Source organism: Homo sapiens, chromosome 7 (genome assembly GCF_000001405.40).
Source record: "Homo sapiens chromosome 7, GRCh38.p14 Primary Assembly".
NCBI lineage: Eukaryota > Metazoa > Chordata > Mammalia > Primates > Hominidae > Homo > Homo sapiens.
Window position 1 is genome coordinate 137826481 of NC_000007.14, and position 21747 is coordinate 137848227.

General features: G+C 43.6%; 1 protein-coding gene across 9 annotated transcripts in view, besides 4 other annotated features; it reads right to left on the bottom strand.

Annotated features, from left to right (window-relative positions):
* DGKI (diacylglycerol kinase iota) overlaps window positions 1-20494 on the bottom strand; it is a 465938-nt gene extending 445444 nt beyond the window's left edge. For 6 of the 9 annotated variants that reach the window (XM_047421022.1, NM_001321708.2, XM_047421021.1 and 3 more), the window contains exon 1: window positions 19982-20494. In XM_047421022.1, coding sequence (XP_047276978.1) covers window positions 19982-20382 — 401 coding nt within the window. In that variant the 5' untranslated portion in view covers window positions 20383-20494. Of the gene's footprint in view, window positions 1-16907; window positions 16983-19746; window positions 19853-19981 lie in introns of those variants that run through there. The other 3 variants (NM_001321710.2, NM_001321709.2, NM_004717.3) reach the window with 3 other exon arrangements.
* Window positions 13773-14355: an enhancer, noted in NCBI's record as "OCT4-NANOG hESC enhancer chr7:137524999-137525581 (GRCh37/hg19 assembly coordinates)". NCBI's record gives its function as "activates a minimal SCP1, AML or CMV promoter by ChIP-STARR-seq in naive H9 embryonic stem cells {active_cell/tissue: H9 hESC(naive)}" and the evidence as "EXISTENCE:reporter gene assay evidence [ECO:0000049][PMID:30033119]".
* Window positions 19333-19834: an enhancer, noted in NCBI's record as "H3K4me1 hESC enhancer chr7:137530559-137531060 (GRCh37/hg19 assembly coordinates)". NCBI's record gives its function as "activates a minimal SCP1, AML or CMV promoter by ChIP-STARR-seq in naive H9 embryonic stem cells {active_cell/tissue: H9 hESC(naive)}" and the evidence as "EXISTENCE:reporter gene assay evidence [ECO:0000049][PMID:30033119]".
* Window positions 20469-20518: a silencer, noted in NCBI's record as "silent region_18684". NCBI's record gives its function as "represses an Ori minimal core promoter by ATAC-STARR-seq in GM12878 lymphoblastoid cells {active_cell/tissue: GM12878}" and the evidence as "EXISTENCE:reporter gene assay evidence [ECO:0000049][PMID:35858748]".
* Window positions 21003-21297: a silencer, noted in NCBI's record as "tiled region #15617; K562 Repressive non-DNase unmatched - State 20:ReprD". NCBI's record gives its function as "represses a minimal TATA promoter and a strong SV40 promoter by Sharpr-MPRA in K562 cells {active_cell/tissue: K562}" and the evidence as "EXISTENCE:reporter gene assay evidence [ECO:0000049][PMID:27701403]".

Sequence of the window (21747 nt, forward strand, 5' to 3'; positions counted from 1 at the left end):
GTATTTCTATTAACTGGTCCAGCCAATCTCTATTCATGTAACAGTGTTAGACAGTAACACAGCCCTCTGACAGTGAACAATGTTTAAGCTGCTTGACTACTGTTTTCTAATAAATTCAGAACACACATTTCTCCTATTAATTTGTTCAATGATTTCTAGGTATTGGAATCTGGGGGAAAAAATCTATCCACTTCATTTTTGTTTTTTAAAGTCCAGTGATGTGATCTGGCAGGGGGAAGGGGGCGGCGGGGGCAGGCGAGTTTATCCAAACAGTTTAGAGGGAAAGTGCCTAGCTCAGAGGCAAGCCACGTTCCAGAATTTTCTGTGTATTTACCTGTATAGAACTTAGGACAATGTTATTTTGCTAAAGTAATAATGAATGGCATCAAATCTAAACACCATCCGTTATATTCCTTTATGTAAAAATGAGTTTCACGTTCAAACTCTGTGGACATCTCAAATTCTCCTTACTCAATCTTTCCCAAAGCTTGAGACTAGAAACTCACCCTACTTCCTATTATTCCTAAGGCATGAGAAAAGCCTGGTTCTCAGCCACCATGGCCCCTGCAGACAGAACAGGGGTCCCCCTTCCTTCTTCATGTGCTAGAGGAGAAAGAAAAGTTATTGTCCATACTGGAGTGTCTGGAGGCATGGCAGGGTGGAGGTGTCACTTGCACAGGAATGACTTGCAGCTATAACAGTGACTCTGGATGCAGGGTAACCAGCAATGGCTTCAGAGAGAACAAGGACCTCCCCACAGCTGAGTATGGAGCATCACTTATAGGCTCAAAAACCTCCAATGGCTCCCTATTAACTATAAAATCCAAATTCTTCTGATGGCATTCAAAGTCCTCCATAATGAGCATTTAACTAACCTTCCCTGCCTTATCTTCCACTCTATCCTTATGCTCAACCCAAACTACTTCATCACCATTCACACTGCTGCACAAATACGTCATACATTTCTACCACTGTATCCTTTCTCATGCAATTCCTGCTGCCTGGAACGCTTTCCATACTCTCCCTCCTTGTGTCCCCATCTCCTCCTATTGAAATCCTACCAACTCTTTAAAGTCAGTGCTCCAAGAAAACTTCTCCCAAACAGAACTAACCTCTCCCACTTTTGTGTTCCTATCACCCAGATCCAGATACAATCATGTGCATCATGCTATGCCCGCTGCTTTACCTTTGTTCAAGCTGCTGATGTCTAAGAAGCACGGAATAGATACAACTTCTAGTAAAGCTCACTTATGTGTGGAATTCTAGGTTAGTGGAACCTGTTAAAGCCTTTCATTCCTTCAAATATTCAAATGATCTACTTTGAGAGCTTTTCAGGAGAGATTAGAAGCAAATGGACTGTGTTCTAAAATTCTGTTTCTAGTTTGCCATTTAGAACCCTGAGTATGTTTTCTCCATTCAATCAATGACATGAACAAGTCCTTTAATTCCTCTCTCCACCTGGTTATCTTCTCTTCCTCCTTCAAGGCACATTTAACCATCACTTGCTGCAGATCCTCCACTCTCCACTCAGACATAAGTGCCCTCTCTCAGGGCTCCCCTATCCTGCCCGCTGACCGCCCGCTCTCTTTGTATTTATCAGCCTGTAGACAGGTCAATGTCTTGCTTCTCTCTATCACCAAGCCATAAATTCTTGATAACAGAGACTCTTATTTCTCTTTTATTTCTAGCACTTCACATAGTATTTGGCACATAGTGGCTATTTTTTTTATTTCTTTCTCCAATAAGTTATAAGCAACTTGAAACAACTTTAAGGTAAAAATCATTTATTATTCAATTTTGGATTCTTCACCAAGTGCTTGAAATAGTGTTTTGCACATATAACAAATTAGTATTCCATATCTATTCTTACAACTTAGGTAAGTTTTTATCGAGAGGATTCCTCATGCTATAAAACAGGTGAGAAAACCCCAATGTTCTCCCAGTGATGCTTTTTTTTAAGTACTTTTTCCCAGCTTTCAATACCAAGACTTGAAAGAAAGCACTCAGTGCGTGGAAGAGCCTCAGAGACCATTGAGATGCATGTATTTCATTTCTCATCTTCTAAAGCTTCTCTCCTTTTCCTTTTTCATTTCTCATCATCCTCATGAATTATCTCACTCCCTTCAGCAGAGAATGCACATTACTTGAGTTATTTTTAGAACACCCTTGTGTGCAATATTGGCACTTCAAAGCACCAGATAGAATCCACACAAACACACACAGATCCTCCTGGGGCTTTTGCTCTGTCCTTGAAGCTCTTTTCACAGCTTCCTAAGGTCTCTCCCCTAGGAATCAGGGGAGCCACAGTAAAAGTATAAGTCCATGCATTTACTTCTATGCCTCCCAAGTGAATTTACAATAAATATTTATTTAACATGATGGGAACTGATGTTAAGAATAATATAAGAATAAGAGCATAAGAAACAATTTCTGTGACACAGACATAACCTGAAGCTACACATCCACATTCTAAGTTCATATCCTTCATCTTGAATGATCCTCTTACCCAAATTTTAGGAATTAATTGCTGGAGAAGCAATAATGCTCTTCCCATAACCTTTATTCTACCTCCAAGTGCAGCCACCACAAGCTGAACTATTTTAGATGGCAAAACAGCTAGGCCACCCAAAAGCTATAGAACACATTCTCTTACATCTAATGCTCAATATGTCTGGCAAAGCAGAGGAAGATGCAGTTTGCAAAGGAAAGAGAAGACAAACTCTCTGTCTTTAACCTTATCCTCAGTCACCACTGTGGTGAGGAGAGGAACATAGGACAGTAAGGATGATGCGGAACACCAAAGAGGACTCTCCCCACATTTCCTGTCTACAGTTCTCTCTCCTTCCTAGTTACACCCTGAAAGTACAACTTCTTAACTTGGGAAACTAGACTTCGTAATTCAAGAACTTCATCATTCAAGGTTATCATTCAAGGATGGCTATCTAGAGGCTTCTGTAATTTTGATAAATTAGTATCTTGACCCTAATCCCACAACGCTGTGCTGTTTAATAGAACTTTCCACAATGATGAAAACGTTCTGTAACTGTGCTGTCCAGCAGGACAGCTACTAGCTACATAAGGCCCTTATTTACTCAATGTGTGATTAGTGTAAAGAAGGAACCGGATTTCAAATTTAGTTTACTTAATTAGTTTTGGTAGGTCCACAGGATTAGTGCCCACTGTATTGAACGGCATAGCCTTTGTACTTAAAATAGGAAAATGCTGTCCTCTGGATAAGATAAGTAATTTTCTTGGCCACCAAATATAGTTTTAGCCAAAGTCCACATGGATTTCTTCATTGGCTCTGTGTCAACTCACTGAAAGAAAGTTCGCCAAAACCTCTCAAATAGCTTAAGCCAGTTTTTGGAAGAGTTGGTCACAGGCATTTCTCCACTAGCAGCAGGGTCAAAAGGAGGACGATGCAGGCATAAGTCTGAAAAATAGAGATAATAGTAAATAGAACTTAAGAGAGAGCTTGCCCCTTCTTATCTAGGAAAAATGAGAGAGAGAGGGAAGGAGGGACAGATGGATGGACAGAGGAAGGGATGGATGTGGAACATTCTAAAAGGGCATGGCATCTGAAATAAGTAGGAAACAAGCCAAGTAAACATTTAGCCAAGCTAAAATGGCCAGTCTTAAGTGAAATGGCTGCAACCTAAGCAAAACTTTGGAAATATTATCAGCAATTTGTTAAACTGGCAGTCTGGATATTCAACTTTTGGAATGAGTTTCACAGCAATTGGTCCACACCCATACTAATCCCTATCCACAACCAACAGCCACAGCAAGCTAATGAAGTCCCCAAAGCTATGCCTATGGTATGTAGGTGTATCCTGCACCAGAGAATCCAAAGGAGGAGCAGATGGGGACAGAAACCCAGCCTCAGTGCCCCCCACCACAGGAGAGGTCCTAGCTGGAGCTGACTGTGCTCTGGAGTGCAAGAGAATTTTTGTAAATTCATGCATCCCAGACTTGAAACCTGTTTCTAATTTGAACAAAGGCACCATATGTGCTAATGGTGACCTTGGTTGGACCACATTTTTAGTTTAGTGCTGCATTTTTATGAAGAAAGCCATGGATAACCCAGTATGCTGTCAAATTAGAAAGAGCCAGAAAAGTGAAGTTGATTGAAAACCACTTTTGGATAAGGGATAGAATGAAAGTGGAGATGGTGCAGTCTAAAGAAACAAGAGCTGAAGAGGCATGTGATATTTGACTTCAAATATTCGAAGACCTGTTATACAGAAAAGGAAAGGGTATTATCCTGAATGTCCTCCAGAACTACAGTGTAATATTAAGTACGTAAAAAAATTAAGGAGTCAGTTTCAGACTCAACATGAAGACAGCAGAATGTAATGGGAAAAGATAGGGGCTTTGGGTGACTTAGAACTGAGTCTGAATCCAATTAATTGACTCCATCAATTATAGCCCTTTGACTTAAATTATTTCCCCTGTGTGAGACAGTTTTCTCATCTGTACAATAGTGATAACTACTCAGAGTTGTTGTGAGAATTAAACAAGAAAATCACAAAAAGGAGGCAAGAAAGTTCCTAACACATATTAAGTATTCACTAAATGATAATATATTCATTTTTCCTATAACAAAAACTCTCTAACAATTAGAATTGACCAACGGCGTAACTATGCCCCTAATGTATCCAAGAGCTCTCTGGCACTGAGGACATTCACAAGCAGAGGCTGCTGGGCCATTCGCCAATGATATTTTATCAGTTAGACTTTTTTTAAACCACCTAGTTAACTTAAACAAAAAGGAATTTTATCGGGAAGATGTTGGATAGTTCACAATGAATAGAAAGACTGATGATCTGTATTAGTCCGTTTTCATGCTGCTGATAAAACATACCCAGGACTGGGAAGAAAAACAGGTTTACTGGACTTACAGTTCCACGTGGTTGGGGAGGCCTCACAATCGTGGCAGACGGCAAGGAGGAACTAGTCACAACTTACATGGATGGTAGCACGCAAAGAGAGAGCTTGTGTGGAAAACTCCCCCTTATAAAACCATCATATCTCATGAGACTTATTTACTATTATGAGAACAGCATAAGAAAGACCCATCCCATAATTCAATTACCTCCCATCGGGCTCATTCCACAACATGTGGGAGTTATGGGAGTACAATTCAAGATGAGACCTGGGTGGGGACACAGAGCCAAACCATATCATTCCACCACTGGCCCCTGCCAAATCTCATGTCCTCACATTTCAAAACCAACTGTGCCTTCCCAAGAGTCCCTCCAAAGTCTGAACTCATTTCAGCATTAACTCAAAAGTCCACAGTCCAAAGTCTCACCTGAGACAAAGCAAGTCCCTTCTGCCTATGAGCCTGTAAAATCCAAAGTAAGCTAGTTACTTCCTAGGTACAATGGGGATACAAACATTGGGTAAATACAGCCATTCCAAATGGGAGAGACTGGCCAAAACAGAGGGGCAACAGGCCCCATGCAAGTCTGAAATTCAACCGGGCAGTCAAATCTTAAAGCTTAAAATGATCAACTTTGACTCCATGTCTCAAATTCAGGTCGTGCTGATACAAGAGATGGGTTCCCATGGTCTTGGGCAGCTCCACCCTTGTGGCTTCGCAGGGTATAGCCCCTCTCCTGGCTGCTTCCACAGGCTGGCATTGAGTGTCTGTGGATTTTCCAGGTGCACAGTGCAAGCTGTCGGTGGAACTACCATTCTGGGGTCTGAAGGACAGTGGCCCTCTTCTCACAGCTTCAATAGGTGGTGCCCCAGGAGGGACTCTGAGTGGGGGCTCTAACCTCACATTTCCCTTCTGCACTGCCCTAGCAGAGGTTCTCCATGAGGGCCCTGCCCCTGTAGTGAACTTCTGCCTGGGCATCCAGGCATTTCCCATACATCCTCTGAAATCAAGGTGGAGGTTCCCAAACTTTGATGCTTGACTTCCATGTACCTGCAGGCTCAACACCATGTGGAAGTTTCCAAGGATTAAGGCTTGAACCCTCTGAAGCAATAGCTCAAGCTATACCTTGGCCCCTTTTAGCTCTGGCTGGAGTGGCTGGGGCACAAGACACCAAGTCCATAGTCTGCACAGAGCAAGAGGTCCCTGGGCTCAGCCCATGAAACCATTTTTTCCTCCTAGGCCGCTGGGCCTGTGATAGGAGGGACAGCCATAAAGACCTCTGACATGCCCTGGAGACATTTTCCCCATTGTCTTGGTGATTAACATTCAGCTGTTCATTACTTATGCAAATTTCTGCAGCCAGCTTGAATAATGGGATTTTCTTTTCCATTGCATCGTCAGGCTGCAAATTTTCTGAACTTTTATGCTCAGCTTCCCTTATAAAACTGAATGCCTTTAACAGCATCCAAGTTACTTCTTGATTGCTTTGCTGCTTACAAATTTCTTTTATGAGATACCACAAATCATCTCTCTCAAGTTCTAAGTTCCACAAATCTCTAGGGCAGGGGCAAAATGCCACCAGTCTTTGCTAAAACATAGCAAGAGTCACCTTTGCTCCAGTTTCCAACAAGTTCCTTGTCTCCACCTCAGCCTGGATCTTATTGTTCATGCCACTATGAGCATTTTTGTCAAAGCCATTCAACAAGTCTCTAGGAAGTTCCAAACTTTCCCACATTTTCCTGTCTTCTCTGAGCCCTCCAAACTGTTTCAACCTCTGCCTGTTACCCAGTTCCAAAGTCGCTTCCACATTTTCAGGTATCTTTTCAGCAGCACCCTACTCCTGGTACCAATTTACTGTATTAGCCTGTTTTCATGCTGCTGGTAAAGACATACCCGAGACTGGGCAATTTACAGAAGAGGTTTATTAGACTTACAGTTCCCCATGGCTGGGGAGACCTCACAATCATGGCAAAGTCAAGGAGGAACAAATCATGTCTTACATGAATGGCAGCAGGCAAAGAGACAGCTTGTGCAGGGAAACTCACCCTGATAAAACCATCAGATCTCATGAGACTTATTCACTATCATGAGATCATCAAGGGAAAGACGCATCCTCATACTTCAATTACCTCCCACTGGGTCCCTCCCACAACACATGGGAATTATGAGAGTACAATTCAAGATGAGATTTGGGTGGGGACACAAAGCCAAACCATATCACAACCTATGCTTTGAATAAAGACAGGAACCAGAGCAGCAGGAATTGTCCTACCAGGGCACTGCCAGTGGATATGAACAAATTGGCAATCCCTTTGACAATCCTTTGAGTCCAAGTCCAAGAGAGTCTGGTCGTCCAAGCTCAAGTCATACACTTGCCCCAAGATGCTATCAGGGTGGTGAGAGGAAGCCCCCTACAACAGCTTCCAAAGGCCTCATTGGTTACCATGGTGGAGAGCCAGGCACCTTGATGTACAGCCCCTCAAGGCTACACACAAGAGGACAGAGGTCATTCCTAAAAGGAAAAACAGGGTTTTGGATGCATATAGGAATATAGCACAGAATAATGCTTAAGTGCACTAGACAGGGGGTTCTGGAATTCAAACCCTGGCTCCACCGTTGGCTGGTGGTGACACCCTGACATATTACTTCATTATCCTGTGCCTCAGTTTCCTTTTCTGTAAAGCTATGGATAGTAAAAGCATCTACCTTATAAAGTTGTGATAAGAATTAACTGAAACCACATATGTAAAGCACTTCACAGTTCTTGGCAAGTAGGACCTCATATTAATGTTGAAGGTATATCATTGAGCACCTCCCAGATATGCTTTTTCTGAGAGACACTTAGGATCTTGCATTTCTATGGGTTTTATGCCAGGCCGGGAAGTCAATGTTTTAGATCTCTCCTCCCCAGCCTTTCTTGTCTTGATTTCACCATCTATATATTGGGTTCGTATAACACAAGTGCTTTTGCTAAAGCTGTTTTGAGTCATTGTAAAAGTGCATGATGAAACATATATGAGAGGCATTAATTGTTCGAGAGATGCTAAAACCAACCATACTAATGAACCCAGCACCACAATGGGAATAACCATTCACCATTTGTGAATTCATCCATGTATTACTTCTTCTGAGTCTGACTTTTAGTTCCTGGAAGAGGTATTTTGCCTTAAATGGAAGGGCAACTTACTGGAAATTAAAGACAAGCTTCCCAGCATCCCAGCTGCTCCTGGAAAGGGGCATTTTCTCTCAAATATCTTGAGGAGGGGAATGGTGAGGAGCAGTATTATGCAGCACACTCTTAGAAAACAACAAAGTTTGCTCCCTTAACAACTCCATGAAGCAATTCTCTGAAGAAAATACATTTGTATAGATACACATAAGTTTCACAATAGTTTGGCAAATTACAACAGAGATGGCAGAAATGCCTTTTATGCCTTAAAAGGCAGGGCCAAGGGCTTCAAGGCTTCCACACACAGATCAATCCATCTTCAAAATTAATAGTGATAGTGCAATCAAAAAATATAGCACCTGACAGCTTTGTATATTGACATCGCCCCTTCACACACATACCCATTGGGACATTAAGTATACGTCCTCCTCTGCACTCAGATCCTTCTGATAAACTGAGCTCCATGAATTATGCTTGTCTTGTACCGTATTTTCTATCTTCATTTTGAAGAGCTTTCAGCTGCCAGCGAAAGCTCAATACAATGAAATCTTGGCACCATCCAACCCCTTGGCTGCAACAACAAAATTTTGTTCTATACCATGTCATTTCAATACCCTTAGCATTCTAAATTACCCAGAGTATTTCATTGAGATGGTATCGGTGAATGTCAAATACAGCCTCAAAACGTACCTGTTTGTTAGCAGTATTTTCTGGAGACTTCCAAATCCTTCAAACTGTGGGTAGCCTGAACCTGCTGCCCCTGTGAACCGTGTGCGGCTCACGGAAGTCTGGTTATTAGGTAATCAGCTATACTGAATTTTCTCCATATGTTCAACAAATATGTTGAGGTGGCTATTTCTTCCCCTAAAAATCACTGAGCTACAGAAGCATATGCTTTCTGGAGACCTGAAATGCAATTGCTATAAAAATGAAATACTATTCTTGGAATACCTATGCCATTACTTGAACTGGGTCTCCTTTACAATGAAATGGCTGCTGCTTAGCAACTAATGCAAAGAAAGAGCCTGACTCTATCTCTACCTGTTTTTTTTTCTTTTTCCCCAGTAAGAGGAGTGTTAAACATATACCATCACACTTGTAGTTTCATGTTTTCATGTGTACAGGAAGGGCAATGACAATGGCAATGAGGTCATCCTCATTGTCAATGCAATATGGATTTAGAATACCAGCTAGTGATTCCAACTTTGTCCATTGTGATAAACCAGTGAGATTAATTCAAGTAAGTAAAATTAATGAGAGGGAAATGGTGCTATTTTTCCATAGATTCATGTGTTGAAACAGCATCCTGCAGTGAAAAGAGTATGAGACTTCAGATCCGAAAACCAGCCTGAACCTGGCAATGTCCCTTATGGCACATGGCCTTGGGAAAGTCGCTTAGCTACTGTGACTGTTTCCTTAAATGTACAATGGCTATGAAAACAATACGGGGTTGCCTAAGATTGTTTTGTGAGTAGTTAGATTAATTATGTGAAAGGAGTTTATAAATGGTAAGCTGTGAAAGCACCACACACATTTTTATTATTATTAAGTACCTAAATTTAGTCAGTATAACAGTTTAAGAAATCTCCAGAAATTTGTCTTTAAAAAAAATCCCTTAGACTTTGTTATAAGTAATTCCACGCTGGCTCATAGAAAGCTTCTGTTTTAATCTTTAAATAGCTTGGGCATTTATTTTTGAAGTAGAGGTTTATTTTCCTAAGAAATTCTGAAAGTTTTCTTCAAATGAGAAAGAATGACTCAGGTTTTCAAAATGTTCCTTTGGAACTTTCTAGGTGTCTCTAACTGCACTCATGAACATACTGACGAATTCTGAAGGATGTTGTTATGGAAAAACTCATATTGCAAAGACTTGCAGCTCAAACAGGTCCTCGAGCTAAAGGTAAAAGACCAGACTCTTCTAAGAATATCTTTTGTAAAAATCAAATGGGGCTGACTATGCCATTTCAGACATGTAAAGTGCACATAAGTTAACCCTAGCTTCTTCACTGGACCCCAATCCATGGTACCATCACCTCCCTTCAAGTTCCACTGTGATTACAACAAATCACAAGGTCTTGTACTGTAGAATTTAAAAGGAGCAGTACCAGTCTATAATCCCTGCAATCATTTCTTGGCCCCAGGAAACTGGATTTATTCCCCCGTCTTGTGCAATGGAAAATTCATATAGTTTTTACAAAAAAACACCATGGAAAGCTCAATCTTGGCCTCCCTACAACTGACAGTAGCACATGATTATTCACAGAGCTAAGTTTTATGCTTAGACATAAAAAGAATGTTCATCCACTCAGCCAATCAACCTTTGTCAAGGCCTCTCTCTATGTCTTGTGTGAGGTCTGGCTGGGCCCATGAAGATGAAACACATGGGTCTCTCTCCTCAAGAGAGTTTGGTCTAATAAACCACTAGATTGTGAAAATATGGCTATTTGCACACAGAGAGGGTAATGGGAAAGGGTGAAAAGAGGACAAGAAAAGCTGCAATAGGGAAGTAATAAGCAATATGCAAATATGGGCACAGATCTTAACTCTGCCACTCAGCTATGTGACTTGCAGGCAAGCTGCTTAAACTCTAAGCCTCAATGTCCTTCTCTGTAAAATGGAAATAATAATAGTCCCTACTTAATTGACGGTCCAGTGAAATCCCAAATGTAAAATATTTAGCAGCTCTTGACACAGTGTAAGCATTTGGCAAAATCAGTAACTTATAATGATTAATATTCACAGGTAGGGAGGTAAGTTAATCGTTGCGGTCAGTATTTGAACCAAGAAAAGCTTTTTCCTTCTCTGAGCTGCACTTACAAAAAGCTTGGAAGTGCATGGATTGCCTTTGCTGCCTCTGGGAATGGCCTTCAGAGGCCACTGGGAAGGACAAGAGGAGTGATGTCTGTGGCTTCCTGGAATATTGTGAGAAAAAGCAGGGTAGGCTGGTGTTTATGTCCTCCCAAAAGTCACATGTTGAAATTATCACCCCCAATGTGATGGTTCTAGAAGGTGGGGCCACTGGGGGTGATTCAGTCACAAGGGTGGGGCGCTAATGAATGGGATGAGTGCCCCTCTAGAAAGAGACCCCCAGGAGCCTCACTACCTCCACCCTGTGAGGACACCATGAGAAGAGAGCTGTCTGCAGCCCCAAAGAGGGTCCTCCCCAGAACCTGACCATGTTGGTGCCCTGATCTCAGACTTCCAACCTCCAGAATGATGAGAAAGAAATGTCTGTTGTTTAGAAGCCGCCCAGTCTATGGGACTTTGTTACAGCAGCCCAAGCTAATGAAGACAGCCATGAAAACCAAGCAGCCCCGAGGTTGTGCGCTGTCAGGGAAGCCCATGCTTGGCAGCTTCCTGTGTAACTTCAGACACTGAGGACGGTGCTTCAATTGCATAGGAAAAGAAACATGCCACACCTTAGTCTTTGCATTGAGAGGGGGCCAATTTAAAAGGGAGAAACTTTTTTTTTTTTTTTTTTTTTTTTTAGACAGAGTCTCACTCTGTCACCAGGCTGGAGTGCAGTGGCTTGATCTCAGCTCACTGCAACCTCCGCCTCCCGGGTTCAAGCAATTCCCCTGCCTCAGCCTCCCAAGTAGCTGGGACTACAAGTGTGCACCACCACACCCAGGTAATTTTTCTTGTATTTTAGTAAAGACGGGGTTTTACCATGTTGGCCAGGATGGTCTTGATCTCCTGACCTTGTGATCTGCCTGCCTCAGCCTCCCAAAGTGCTGGGATTACAGGCTCTTCCTTCAAAACTCTTAAAGAGAATGCTTTCAGTCTGAAAGAGATTGTCTCAAACTCTGACACATCCATAAGGACAATGATGAGATCTGAGGCCTTTCAGCCTGAGGAATGTTCCAGAAGTTTGTCTCTAAATGATACACGGAACCCTTTCCGACCGCTTCCACATAAGCTTATGTAAAGCTCTTTTTATCTTTCAACAAATTGCTTTCAAGTTTTTTTTTTAAAAAAGCAAAAATGTATTTTTCCTTACAAGCCTGACATCTTTCTCATGTACAAAGGAATGACACATTTTTAAAATGTACTTTGGTCCTTTCAAGGAATCTATTTTCTGGCTATTTCCTGAAAGACTACATGATACACAAAAGCAGTCCAACTGTCTTATCTTTGCCTTTTTTAGGGGAAAAAAAATGAATTCACCTCCTCAAAATTTATTTCACAGTCCTGAGCCGTTTTATTTGTCCAACAAATATTTAATAACCATCTACATCTTTTAAAATATATTCTGCTGTTTGGCCTGGTTCAAATAACTGATGGAACATCCCAGAAGGCTGCACCTTCCATTTCTGAAATAATCCAGGGCAGGTAGCATCTGCGAAGCTTCTTTCTGTGATTGCCAGGGCATGCCAGCCGGCCATTGTCTGTATGTACAAAGCAGGCATCATCAAGACAGGCCAGAAGAGAAATAACCTCTGTCCTGGAATCACAGGGGACAATTCTATTTCTAGTACCTCGGTCTTTATCAGCTTATCCATTCCTGACACTGTGAAGCTCTGAGACCCCTCTCACCCACCCCTCCACGGCTGGCTTCCTGCTCTCAGATGACCAGCTGGGAGTTTGGATTGCTGCTACCTGATTCCTCCGCACACTGACTGTGCCTCTCTCCTCCGACCTCTGCCTTCTGTCTGCTCCAATTTCCAAAGCACTAAGAAGCAGCTTTCTCCCCTTCACATCCCCTAGTAACAATGAATTGTGTTTTAATAAGTTATGAAAGAAAAAGTACATATTCTATACCTTAAAGAATGCCAAAACCTGTCAGTTAAATTTCTCAAGTCTATGTCTATCTCATTTTCATATTACCTGAATAATTTTATCACCAGCTGCTGACATTTGATGATGTTCTGTATTTTGAAGAATAATAGACAAATCTGTTCCTTAACTGGACTTGAGTATAGATAATACCACTTTAACAAACACACATATAGCATGTACTTTGTGACTCATTTAAATGTCAAATAATTCTACAGGATGAGTACTACTATCACTACCATTTTGCAGATAGGGAAATTAAGACACAGAGAGGTTAAGTAACTTTTGCAGGCACACAGCAGGCAGAGGTGGCGCTTTGGACCCAGGTAGCAGGGCTCTTCACCAGTACTCTCCTCTACCTCTCAAGTAATTGAAAGTTAAGAAAAATGAAATTTAATTGTGGTTTAAATATTACTGTTTCGAATGTTGTTCCCAACATCTAACAAAAGCCAGGCTATAAATATTACAGCTTAAACCAGAATTGGTTCTTTTATCAGAACATTATTTATGAGTCTGGAAATCTAAAGGCAAATTTCCATTTCAGCAAAACTAGGTTGGATGCAAGAATGACAGAAGCCCCTGTTAGAAAGCTGTTGCCCTTAAAAGAAAATGCTGTTTGCTTTATTTCAAAGGCTCACAAAACTCAGGGCTGGAAGGAAAGAACATTAACATTCATATGCAAAGATCTTTCTTCCCACCTCTACCCAATCACAGCCCCCTCCTTCAGCTAATATGCACACACAAGATGATTTAATTTTCTCTAAAGTAACCCAAGCAGTGCTCATCCCTCCTCTCCCTAAACACTATGGGTGTCAGGACACTCGTGAGCCATTCTTCAAGTGCTCTGTATGGTACATGAATAAAAAGTAGCTGGTGCTTTTCTGAAGATTTTATTAAGTGGGTTAAAAACAAAGCAAAAGCTTAGAGTCACTAAGCGGACTAATGCATTCTTCCTAAAATAACTTTTTCACCAAAGTCAATCAGATGAGCTGGAAGGAAAGAGGGAGTGAAGTAATATAGAACAGAGGTGGCTGGAGTGACCTCCGGCTGGCTGGACAATGGTCAGGACTCCAGGAATGCTGGGTAGCCCTTTTTCTGCATTTTTACATTTTAATCACTGAAGGAAAAGTCAACAGAAATTTCCCTGAGGAGAAAATCAATGCTGCCCCTTGGAAAGGGATGAGACAGACAGAAAGAGAACCGGAGAGCTAATTAGTGCTACTCAGAAGGCAAATTAAGGCCTTTTCTTTGACAAGCTGCAAATAGCTGGTTAAGTAAGAGTTTCTGCCACCCCTCTCCAGCCTCACAGCTGCCTAAATGGCTGATGCAGGTACGCAAACAGGAAGCTGTAAACAGTAACGCAGTCCTGGGCTGCTGGACAAAGTGTAAATAAGAAAAAGGCAGAGGTTTCTTTAGTAGAAAAGAAACTCACAATTGAGATGAACCAAGAATGAATAACAGTAGTAATTTATTTTAAAATGCCAATGAAATGTATTTATTCAATAAATACTTATCCAACACCTACCAAGCAAGAAGAATCAGAGTCATCGATTCAAATGATCAGGTGCAAGTTCTGTCTTCAAAGGAGCTAACAACTTAGTTTGGGGAATGGTAATAAGTACACAAGTTAACTCTATGTAGGGCACTATGCCATGTCCTTTAAATAAAGTAACTCATTTAATCTTCCTAACAAACCTGTATTACTATTATCTCATTTTAGAAACACATTGGCTGGGCCTCCAAGGAGTTACATAGCTTGTCTGAGATTAGCAGAAAGATGCCAAGTTCAAACCCTAGTCTAAGTCCCAGACCAGAAAATGACACTTGTCTCAACAAAGCTATTTGAAAGAACAGGGGAGCACCAGCCACCCATCACCCCAAGTGGACGCTTTTGAGCTCATACCAATCGAGGAGTTTTCCTGGTGAACAAGCCAGCAATGAGTTGTGGAAGCATTATGGGCAAACAGACTTAGCTTGGTATTTTTATTTCTCCAATTATCTGCATTGTTTTTGTGCCTTGAAATAGGTTTCAATCAGTTCCAACAATTAGAAATCAGCCCATTTTTATAGGCATTTTGAGCAAATTAAATTTTAATGAAAAAAAGTTTTATGGCTTAGATTTCATTTTACTTCTGACCTTTCTTTCAAAGTTATCCACTGTAAGAAAAGCTCACATGCCATCATTTATTTGCAGTAACTACTGTCCCAAAACTAGTTACAGGACCTCAGGAAAAATAATTAGTCTCCACAGGATCAGTGTTACCAACACATACCCATGGAAGAAAGCAAATGTCACAGCCCAACGTGTAGGCAATAGTTCTTCCAGATGCTTCTGGTCTCACAGTGTACTCAACTTCAAGGATACCTTGGGGTTGTGTAGGGAACATGTTCTCAGATCCCAGGCCAGACGAACATACAGGGTGTAGACAGCCTGGGCTCTCACTAGGAACCCTCATTTCCTCAGACTAGAAAGTGCGGTGTTGGAAAGAGCTAGCTCTAGTCTAATTGAATTTGGCCCCATGAGGCAATGCTGTTGTTTGTTGCCACAGCAGAATTGAACACCAGCAAAGACCTCTCTTCAACTTCCCTATCCCCAGATTCCACAGGACCCAATAGTGTCAATCTCCCAGGTAAAAATCAAGCCTCTAAAAGATCACTTAGAGCAGAATAAGTACTCCGGACAGTGGTTGAATTGAAATCTTGCCCAGTGTGTATCCTAACTGAGGAAGTAACAGTCAGTATGTAAGTCATTACTGAGAAAGGAATTAAATTAGAACCAAGATCTTAATCTGATCCTACAGTCTTTAAAAATCTAACAGATGTGCAAAACACGGATAAAAACAAAATAAAATGGATTTACAAAAGAGGATACATACTGATATTCAGGAGAAAAGTTCCCCCATACACTATTGATTACAATGCAAGGAAGACCAATATCCATTTTATCCTACGTGGCTTCGAACTCCTCAAATATCTTTCTTGTAATAACACAACCTTACTTTGTGGGACAAAACACACGCAAAAAAACTACATTCTAATCATCAACCTATAAAGAATAACAGATCATTTTTTACATGGTTGCCCAAACTAAAGCGTTTAATACTCCTTGCTCCTATTTCTATCTCATACCAAAAACTTCCTTTAAGAAAGGTTTAGTATTACCAGCATGGTTTATGAGCAGAGAAACTAAATCATAGGCATCAACATCTCATAAGTAATGGTCTGCCCAGACATACTGACAAGCAAAATTGTACTTCATCACTCATTCTGTGCTGCCCAAAGAGGTACCGATGGGCCAGCTCTTCATTGGACCTAGGTTCGCCTACACAACCCTGTGTAAATTTTTTTTTAAGGCATATAAACCTCTAACGAGGATATCTTCATAGCAGGTGCATGTAGGTGGTTTTGTTCTCAGAAGCAAAACTGATATATTTGCAATCATGAATTTATATTCATTTATATTTCTGAGATAGTAGAAGAGTTCCCTAAAATTATATAGACAAAGGGCCACAAGCCAAAAAAAGGTATGCAATAATATATAATAATAATAATATGTAATGACCTGCCGTGTATTACAGATGAGGGGGAAGATAACTCACACTGCACACACGCATGCATACACATATGCACACATGGACAGAGAGCTCAAGCCTAAAATAAATGTTTAGGGAAGCAGCGTGATGCGGTCTAAAGAGACAGTCCTTTGGAGTCATCTGTGTTTTAAATTCTGCCTCCTGCCCAAGCTCTATGCCTCAAGTTCATTTTCAATAAAATGGAAATAGTCATAGTCACATCACAGGACTGTCACAAAGATTAATTAAGACAGAATATACAATAAGGCTTAGCCCAGTGCCTGTTGCATAGAAGACAATAAACATCAGCTACCTTCTCCTTCCCCTCCCTTATGTGTTTCTGAAGTCTTTTTTTTTTTATTGTACTGACTTATATGGGAATTCTTACAGCAGTTTAAAAAAAAAAACAGTTCCTACACAGTATATAGTCATTTACACATATGTATCTGTTGCAGCACCATAATTTGCAAAGAAAAACGAAGTAGTAATTTTAAAAGAAAAGTACCAGCTCACTCGCACTGCCTTTTCAAACCTTCAGCTTTACAGTCGACAGAGACTATTTGCTCTAGGGGTGCAGATTCTGAAATAAAGGAAAAAATTCTCATGGGAAAAATGGTTCTCAAAAAAAGCCAACACAGAATAGATAATGAGGGGAAATCTAGGAGTACAGAAAGCAGTTTATTTTACTTAACAAAGTAAAAGTCAAGCAAAATGAATAATCTGCCTCCAGAAATGGTTATTTAAAGGCTTTTTGTAAAGGGCTCTGGTTCCTAAAAAGACAGGAGTCACTGCATATGCCCACCCACTCCTCATTTATTTTTAAACCCTAGCTTATATGTTCCTTAGCAACAGAAGGAGCAGATGAGACCCCCCTACACACACACACACACACACACACACACACACACACACACCCTCTCTCCCAAAGCCCCCTTCTTTTTGCCTGTCAAGTTTCATTCCAAAAATACACATGTTCTTCAAAAGATATTTTTTGCCTACCTGCAAATCTCCACTCCTCCACCTCAAATGATCCCCCTCACGCAAGCAGCCATGCTCCATACCCTAACTCAGTCCTTTCACTCAGACTCCATTCTGTGAGGTCTTCCTGCCTCCTCTCCATAAGCTCCCACCAGACACTGTCCTCAGGTGCCCCCAGAAGGGAGGTGGTGTGGTCCCCACCAAGGAGCCGACCCTCAGCTCCTGACAAACCTGCTCTTTTTTTACACACCCTTCATCCATCCCACAGTAAAACAGCCAGCCCTGCTGCAGGAGTCCAGCACCAATGGCCGCCATGACGAGTGGGCAGGCCATTCACCATTACTCCAAAACAAATAAGTAACAGTGATCAAAATGGAGACAATTTCCTGTTACCCAGGCACAAACATGCTCCAGATGGAAGCACCTCCTTTTCACCATCTTTCCTCTGACTTTGAGACTGACTGGCCTGGTTTGGATGGGGAGGGTTTATGAGTTCAAAGATCAATTGTTTAGTCTTGGGGGCAAAATAGGGTGGCAATCCCCATATATTAGTCTGCATAAACATCGCCTGAGGAGCGTGTTAAAAATTCTCACCCACAGACAGTTTGATTCTGCAAGTCTAGGGTGGTGAGCACTTTTAACCAGACACCTGAGGTGACACTGATGCAGGAATTGGAGACTGTAAAGCTTTATTTAAAAGGAAATGATGTTCACGAAGTAGAATCCACCTCTATGTAAGGATTGTAAAGCAGACGCAATGTTATTATTCTTCTATAGAAACATGCTGCGTCTGTGTCCATGTCTATGCTTGTGTGTGTACACACTTACACGTGCATGTGTGAGCATGCAACTCAGAAAGCCAAAACCCCACACAACATACATTTTAAAAAAGGAGGCTCAGAGAATGACCCCTGACAAGAGGCAAGCTGAAATGATTTCCCTTGCAAACTCTGGCTTTGTCTTCCTACCCAGTGAGGACTCTGATGAATACCAATAAGCCAGGAGCAGCCTACACTGTGCTTCATGTAATCACCACCCCCTTCCAACTCACAGCTCCTAAATTAGGCTGAATGTAGTCCCTGTTCCCCCAGGGGCCAGACGGGCCATCATAACTAGGAAGTAGAACTGCCAGTGTCCTAGCATACCTCCCTAGAGCTACCCCCTCCCCACCATCTGTCTATTTTTAGAAACCAAAGTATAAAAAGAAAGATCCATTTGGACCTGATCTGTGTGAGTAACTAAGAGAACAACTCAGGTGGGGAACTCCCTCAGCGCACAGCGAACAAAATGCATGGGAGGAACGCAGAAGCAACAACCTCACCAGGAAGGCGTTTTAGGAGTCATCAGAAGTCAACACTTAGACACAGAGCACATGCCCTAGTGACTGTGGCCTCCAGGCCAGGCGATGTCTATGGGGATCCCAATTATTCACACACCTGCCCCCATAAATAAAACACACCCTCCCAAACCCACACACCTCTGTCATCTGCGTTTGCTTACATAACAGCACATGGTGTGACAGGCTTAATACTTTATATGGTTTTTGGGAAGGGAACACTAACTCAGAAAGAGTAGGGTTACAAGAATGTTTTCACTGACCCCTTTTCCAGAAACCCTCTGAGCTCCAGCAAGTGTACATCTTTGTAAACCTATGCTTGCATATCACCTCGACCTTTAACATCGATAAGCAGTAGGGTTAGTGTCAACAACTCTCCAAACCTGTCAATGTCTTTATTCTTGCCTGCGGAAGGGAGGGGTGAGAGAGACCTTAATAAATCCTAATTCCTCGTTGTTGGATTCTAATACAATGTGGGGTTATCTTTTATCCTAATTTAAAGGCCATTGATCCCACACTGTCCTTGTCTTACACATACACTCATCCTTAGGTGCAAATATGGTCCCCACTCTCACCTTCACCCCTAGCTTGCCAGCGGGCTCCCCACACCCTCCTCCAGCCAGGAGAGAGGCAAGGAGCACGCAGGCATGGAGCCCCCATAACCAGTGGCGCATCTACAGACATAAACCCACTCTTCCTTCATGGGGGATTTCGAGGCAGGTCCAACTTCCATAAGGATTTCTCTTCAGTGTAGTGCTATTCTTTTCTGCCTGTCGGAGTGATCTCAGCTGTCAAGTTAGTGCCAAAGGTTCATCCAGCGAAATCTGGAAGGTGGGGGAAGGGTGGTTGAAGATGACACCTGCTTAGGGGCAACTTTGACGACTTCTCTTAAGAAAACTAAGCATCACTGAGTCTGCAACCCTTTCTCTCTCTCTCTTTCTCTCTCTCTCTCTCTCTCTCTCTCTCACACACACACACACACACACACACACACACACACACACACAGACAAAATTTCTGTTGCTCTGACCTTAGGGACCCAGTGCTTCTCTCCTGCCACAGGGGAAAGCAGGCGTTGCTGCCCTCCAGCCTGGAATGATAGGATGGGGAGAAGACAGACATCCCCGGGAGGAGAGGGGGAAAGGGGGAAGGAGAGGCGTGGAAACAGAGAGGTGCCCAACTCCGCGGAAGCGCCCCTTGCTGGGTAGAAGAGTGGGTCTCCCGCCGCGGCGCACCTGTCTCGGCTGCCGGCTCCCCGCACCTACCTGTACGAGACCTGCTTCCGGAAAGTTAAGTTCCTCAGCTTCTCCTCCAGCGCTTCGTCCTTCTCCTTCTGGCCGGCGGCCGCGGGCTCGTCCAGGGCAGCGGCCCCCGCCGCCGCGGCTGACCCTGCGCCCCGCGGGTCCGCGCCGCCCTCGGCGCCCAGGCAGCAGCTCCCGGCGCCGCTTCCGCTGCTGCTGCTGCCGCCCGTCGCCCCTTTCTCCTCTCCCGCCGAGGAGCTGGGGTTCATGGCGCCCGCTCCGGCGGCCGCGGAGGGAGCGCAGGCGGCGCCGCTGCAGGGGCCGGGCGGGCTGGCGGCGGCGGCGGCGGCGGCTGCAGGAGCGCGGGCAGGTCCGCGCGCCGCTGGCAGGGGCAGCAAATGGCAGCCCCTTCCCGCAGCATCCATCCGCGGCTGCACCGCACCGGGGCATTGTGGGAAACTCCGCTCACTCCCCCGCCCCGGCCAATCAGAGGCCGCCGCTCCCCGCCTCCCGCGCCCTCCCGCGCCGGCCCGCACCCTCCAGCCCCGCCGGCCTCTTCCTAAATCCCGAGCGAAAGCCCAAGCTGAACATGAACTCTGCCCGGAGGCGACGGGCTGCGGCGGAGGGGGAGAGAGAGGAGGACAGGCTGCGACCCCGGGCTGGGGACGCCAGGGCAGGGACAGCGAGCATCAGGAAGGAGAGCGTCCGGGGAACTCGAGTGGCCGCGCCCTGGGTCCTGCACCGTGAGGCTGGGGGGACCAGGACCGGCGGGCGCCCACCTTGGTCCTGAGCCCAGCTGCCGACGCTGGGCCAGCACCCTCTCCACCGCCGCCCTCCAGTGAGCAGAGCTGGGCTCAGGCAGCAGCCCCTGGGCGCGGGAAGGTAGCGGGAGCTGCATTTAGGGGAGGGGGGAGGTAGCAGGAGCTCCGCCAGTGGGAACCTTGGAGTGAATTCGTCGGCGGGTGCCAAGTCGAAGCGCCGACCTCCTGTCTCTGGACTGGGGCCCGGACCCCTGCGTCCCCAAACTGCGTCCCCGCCTTGCTCGTCGCCCGGTGCCTTCCTTAGGCGCAGCAGACCCTCGGTAAACAGCGGTTAATTCGATGGAATCGGATCACAGGGCCCTCGGTGAAGCAGAAAGGCGGAGGAAATCCAGGAGGCAGAAGTGAGGACCCTGGCGCCTGGCGCCGCTGCGTTGTTCGTATAAGAAGAGGCATCCCGGAAGGGGCTTCAAACCACTTAGGACCGACTGCTGAAACGAATCCAAGCTTGTGGTGTCTGCAGAATTTAACTGTCCGCCTCAACCCCAGTTTTTGTTTCTAAGATTATCGAAAACTGTGCGGTTTGAGTGATGTGCTACAAAGTGTTTAAAACAGATTGTTTCCCAAATTAGGGGTTTCCACACAAGAAATCGCTGCTGTCGGCAAACACAGGAACTATCTATGGTTAAGACAAGGTGGTGTTCGTAACCAAACTATAAACCTACATATACGAGGTGGTAAGAGAACCAGACCAATGAACAGTTTCAGGCTGGCGTGGTGTGCCCGTGAACAAAGAATTGTAATACTGGCAAAAATCTAAATTGCTTTCTTTCCCTTTATTTTCTCATCACTAAAATTAGGAAAATGAACAGATATGTCAAATCTCTTCTAACACCCATGTTCTGTAACTCTCCTCGTATGTACCTTATAATAAGACAAAGGTAAAGACATTTCCATGTGCAGCGAGGAAAAGTAATAATAAAAATTAAAACAACTAGCAAGTATGAAGCCCTCTTTTTATACGGTATGTGC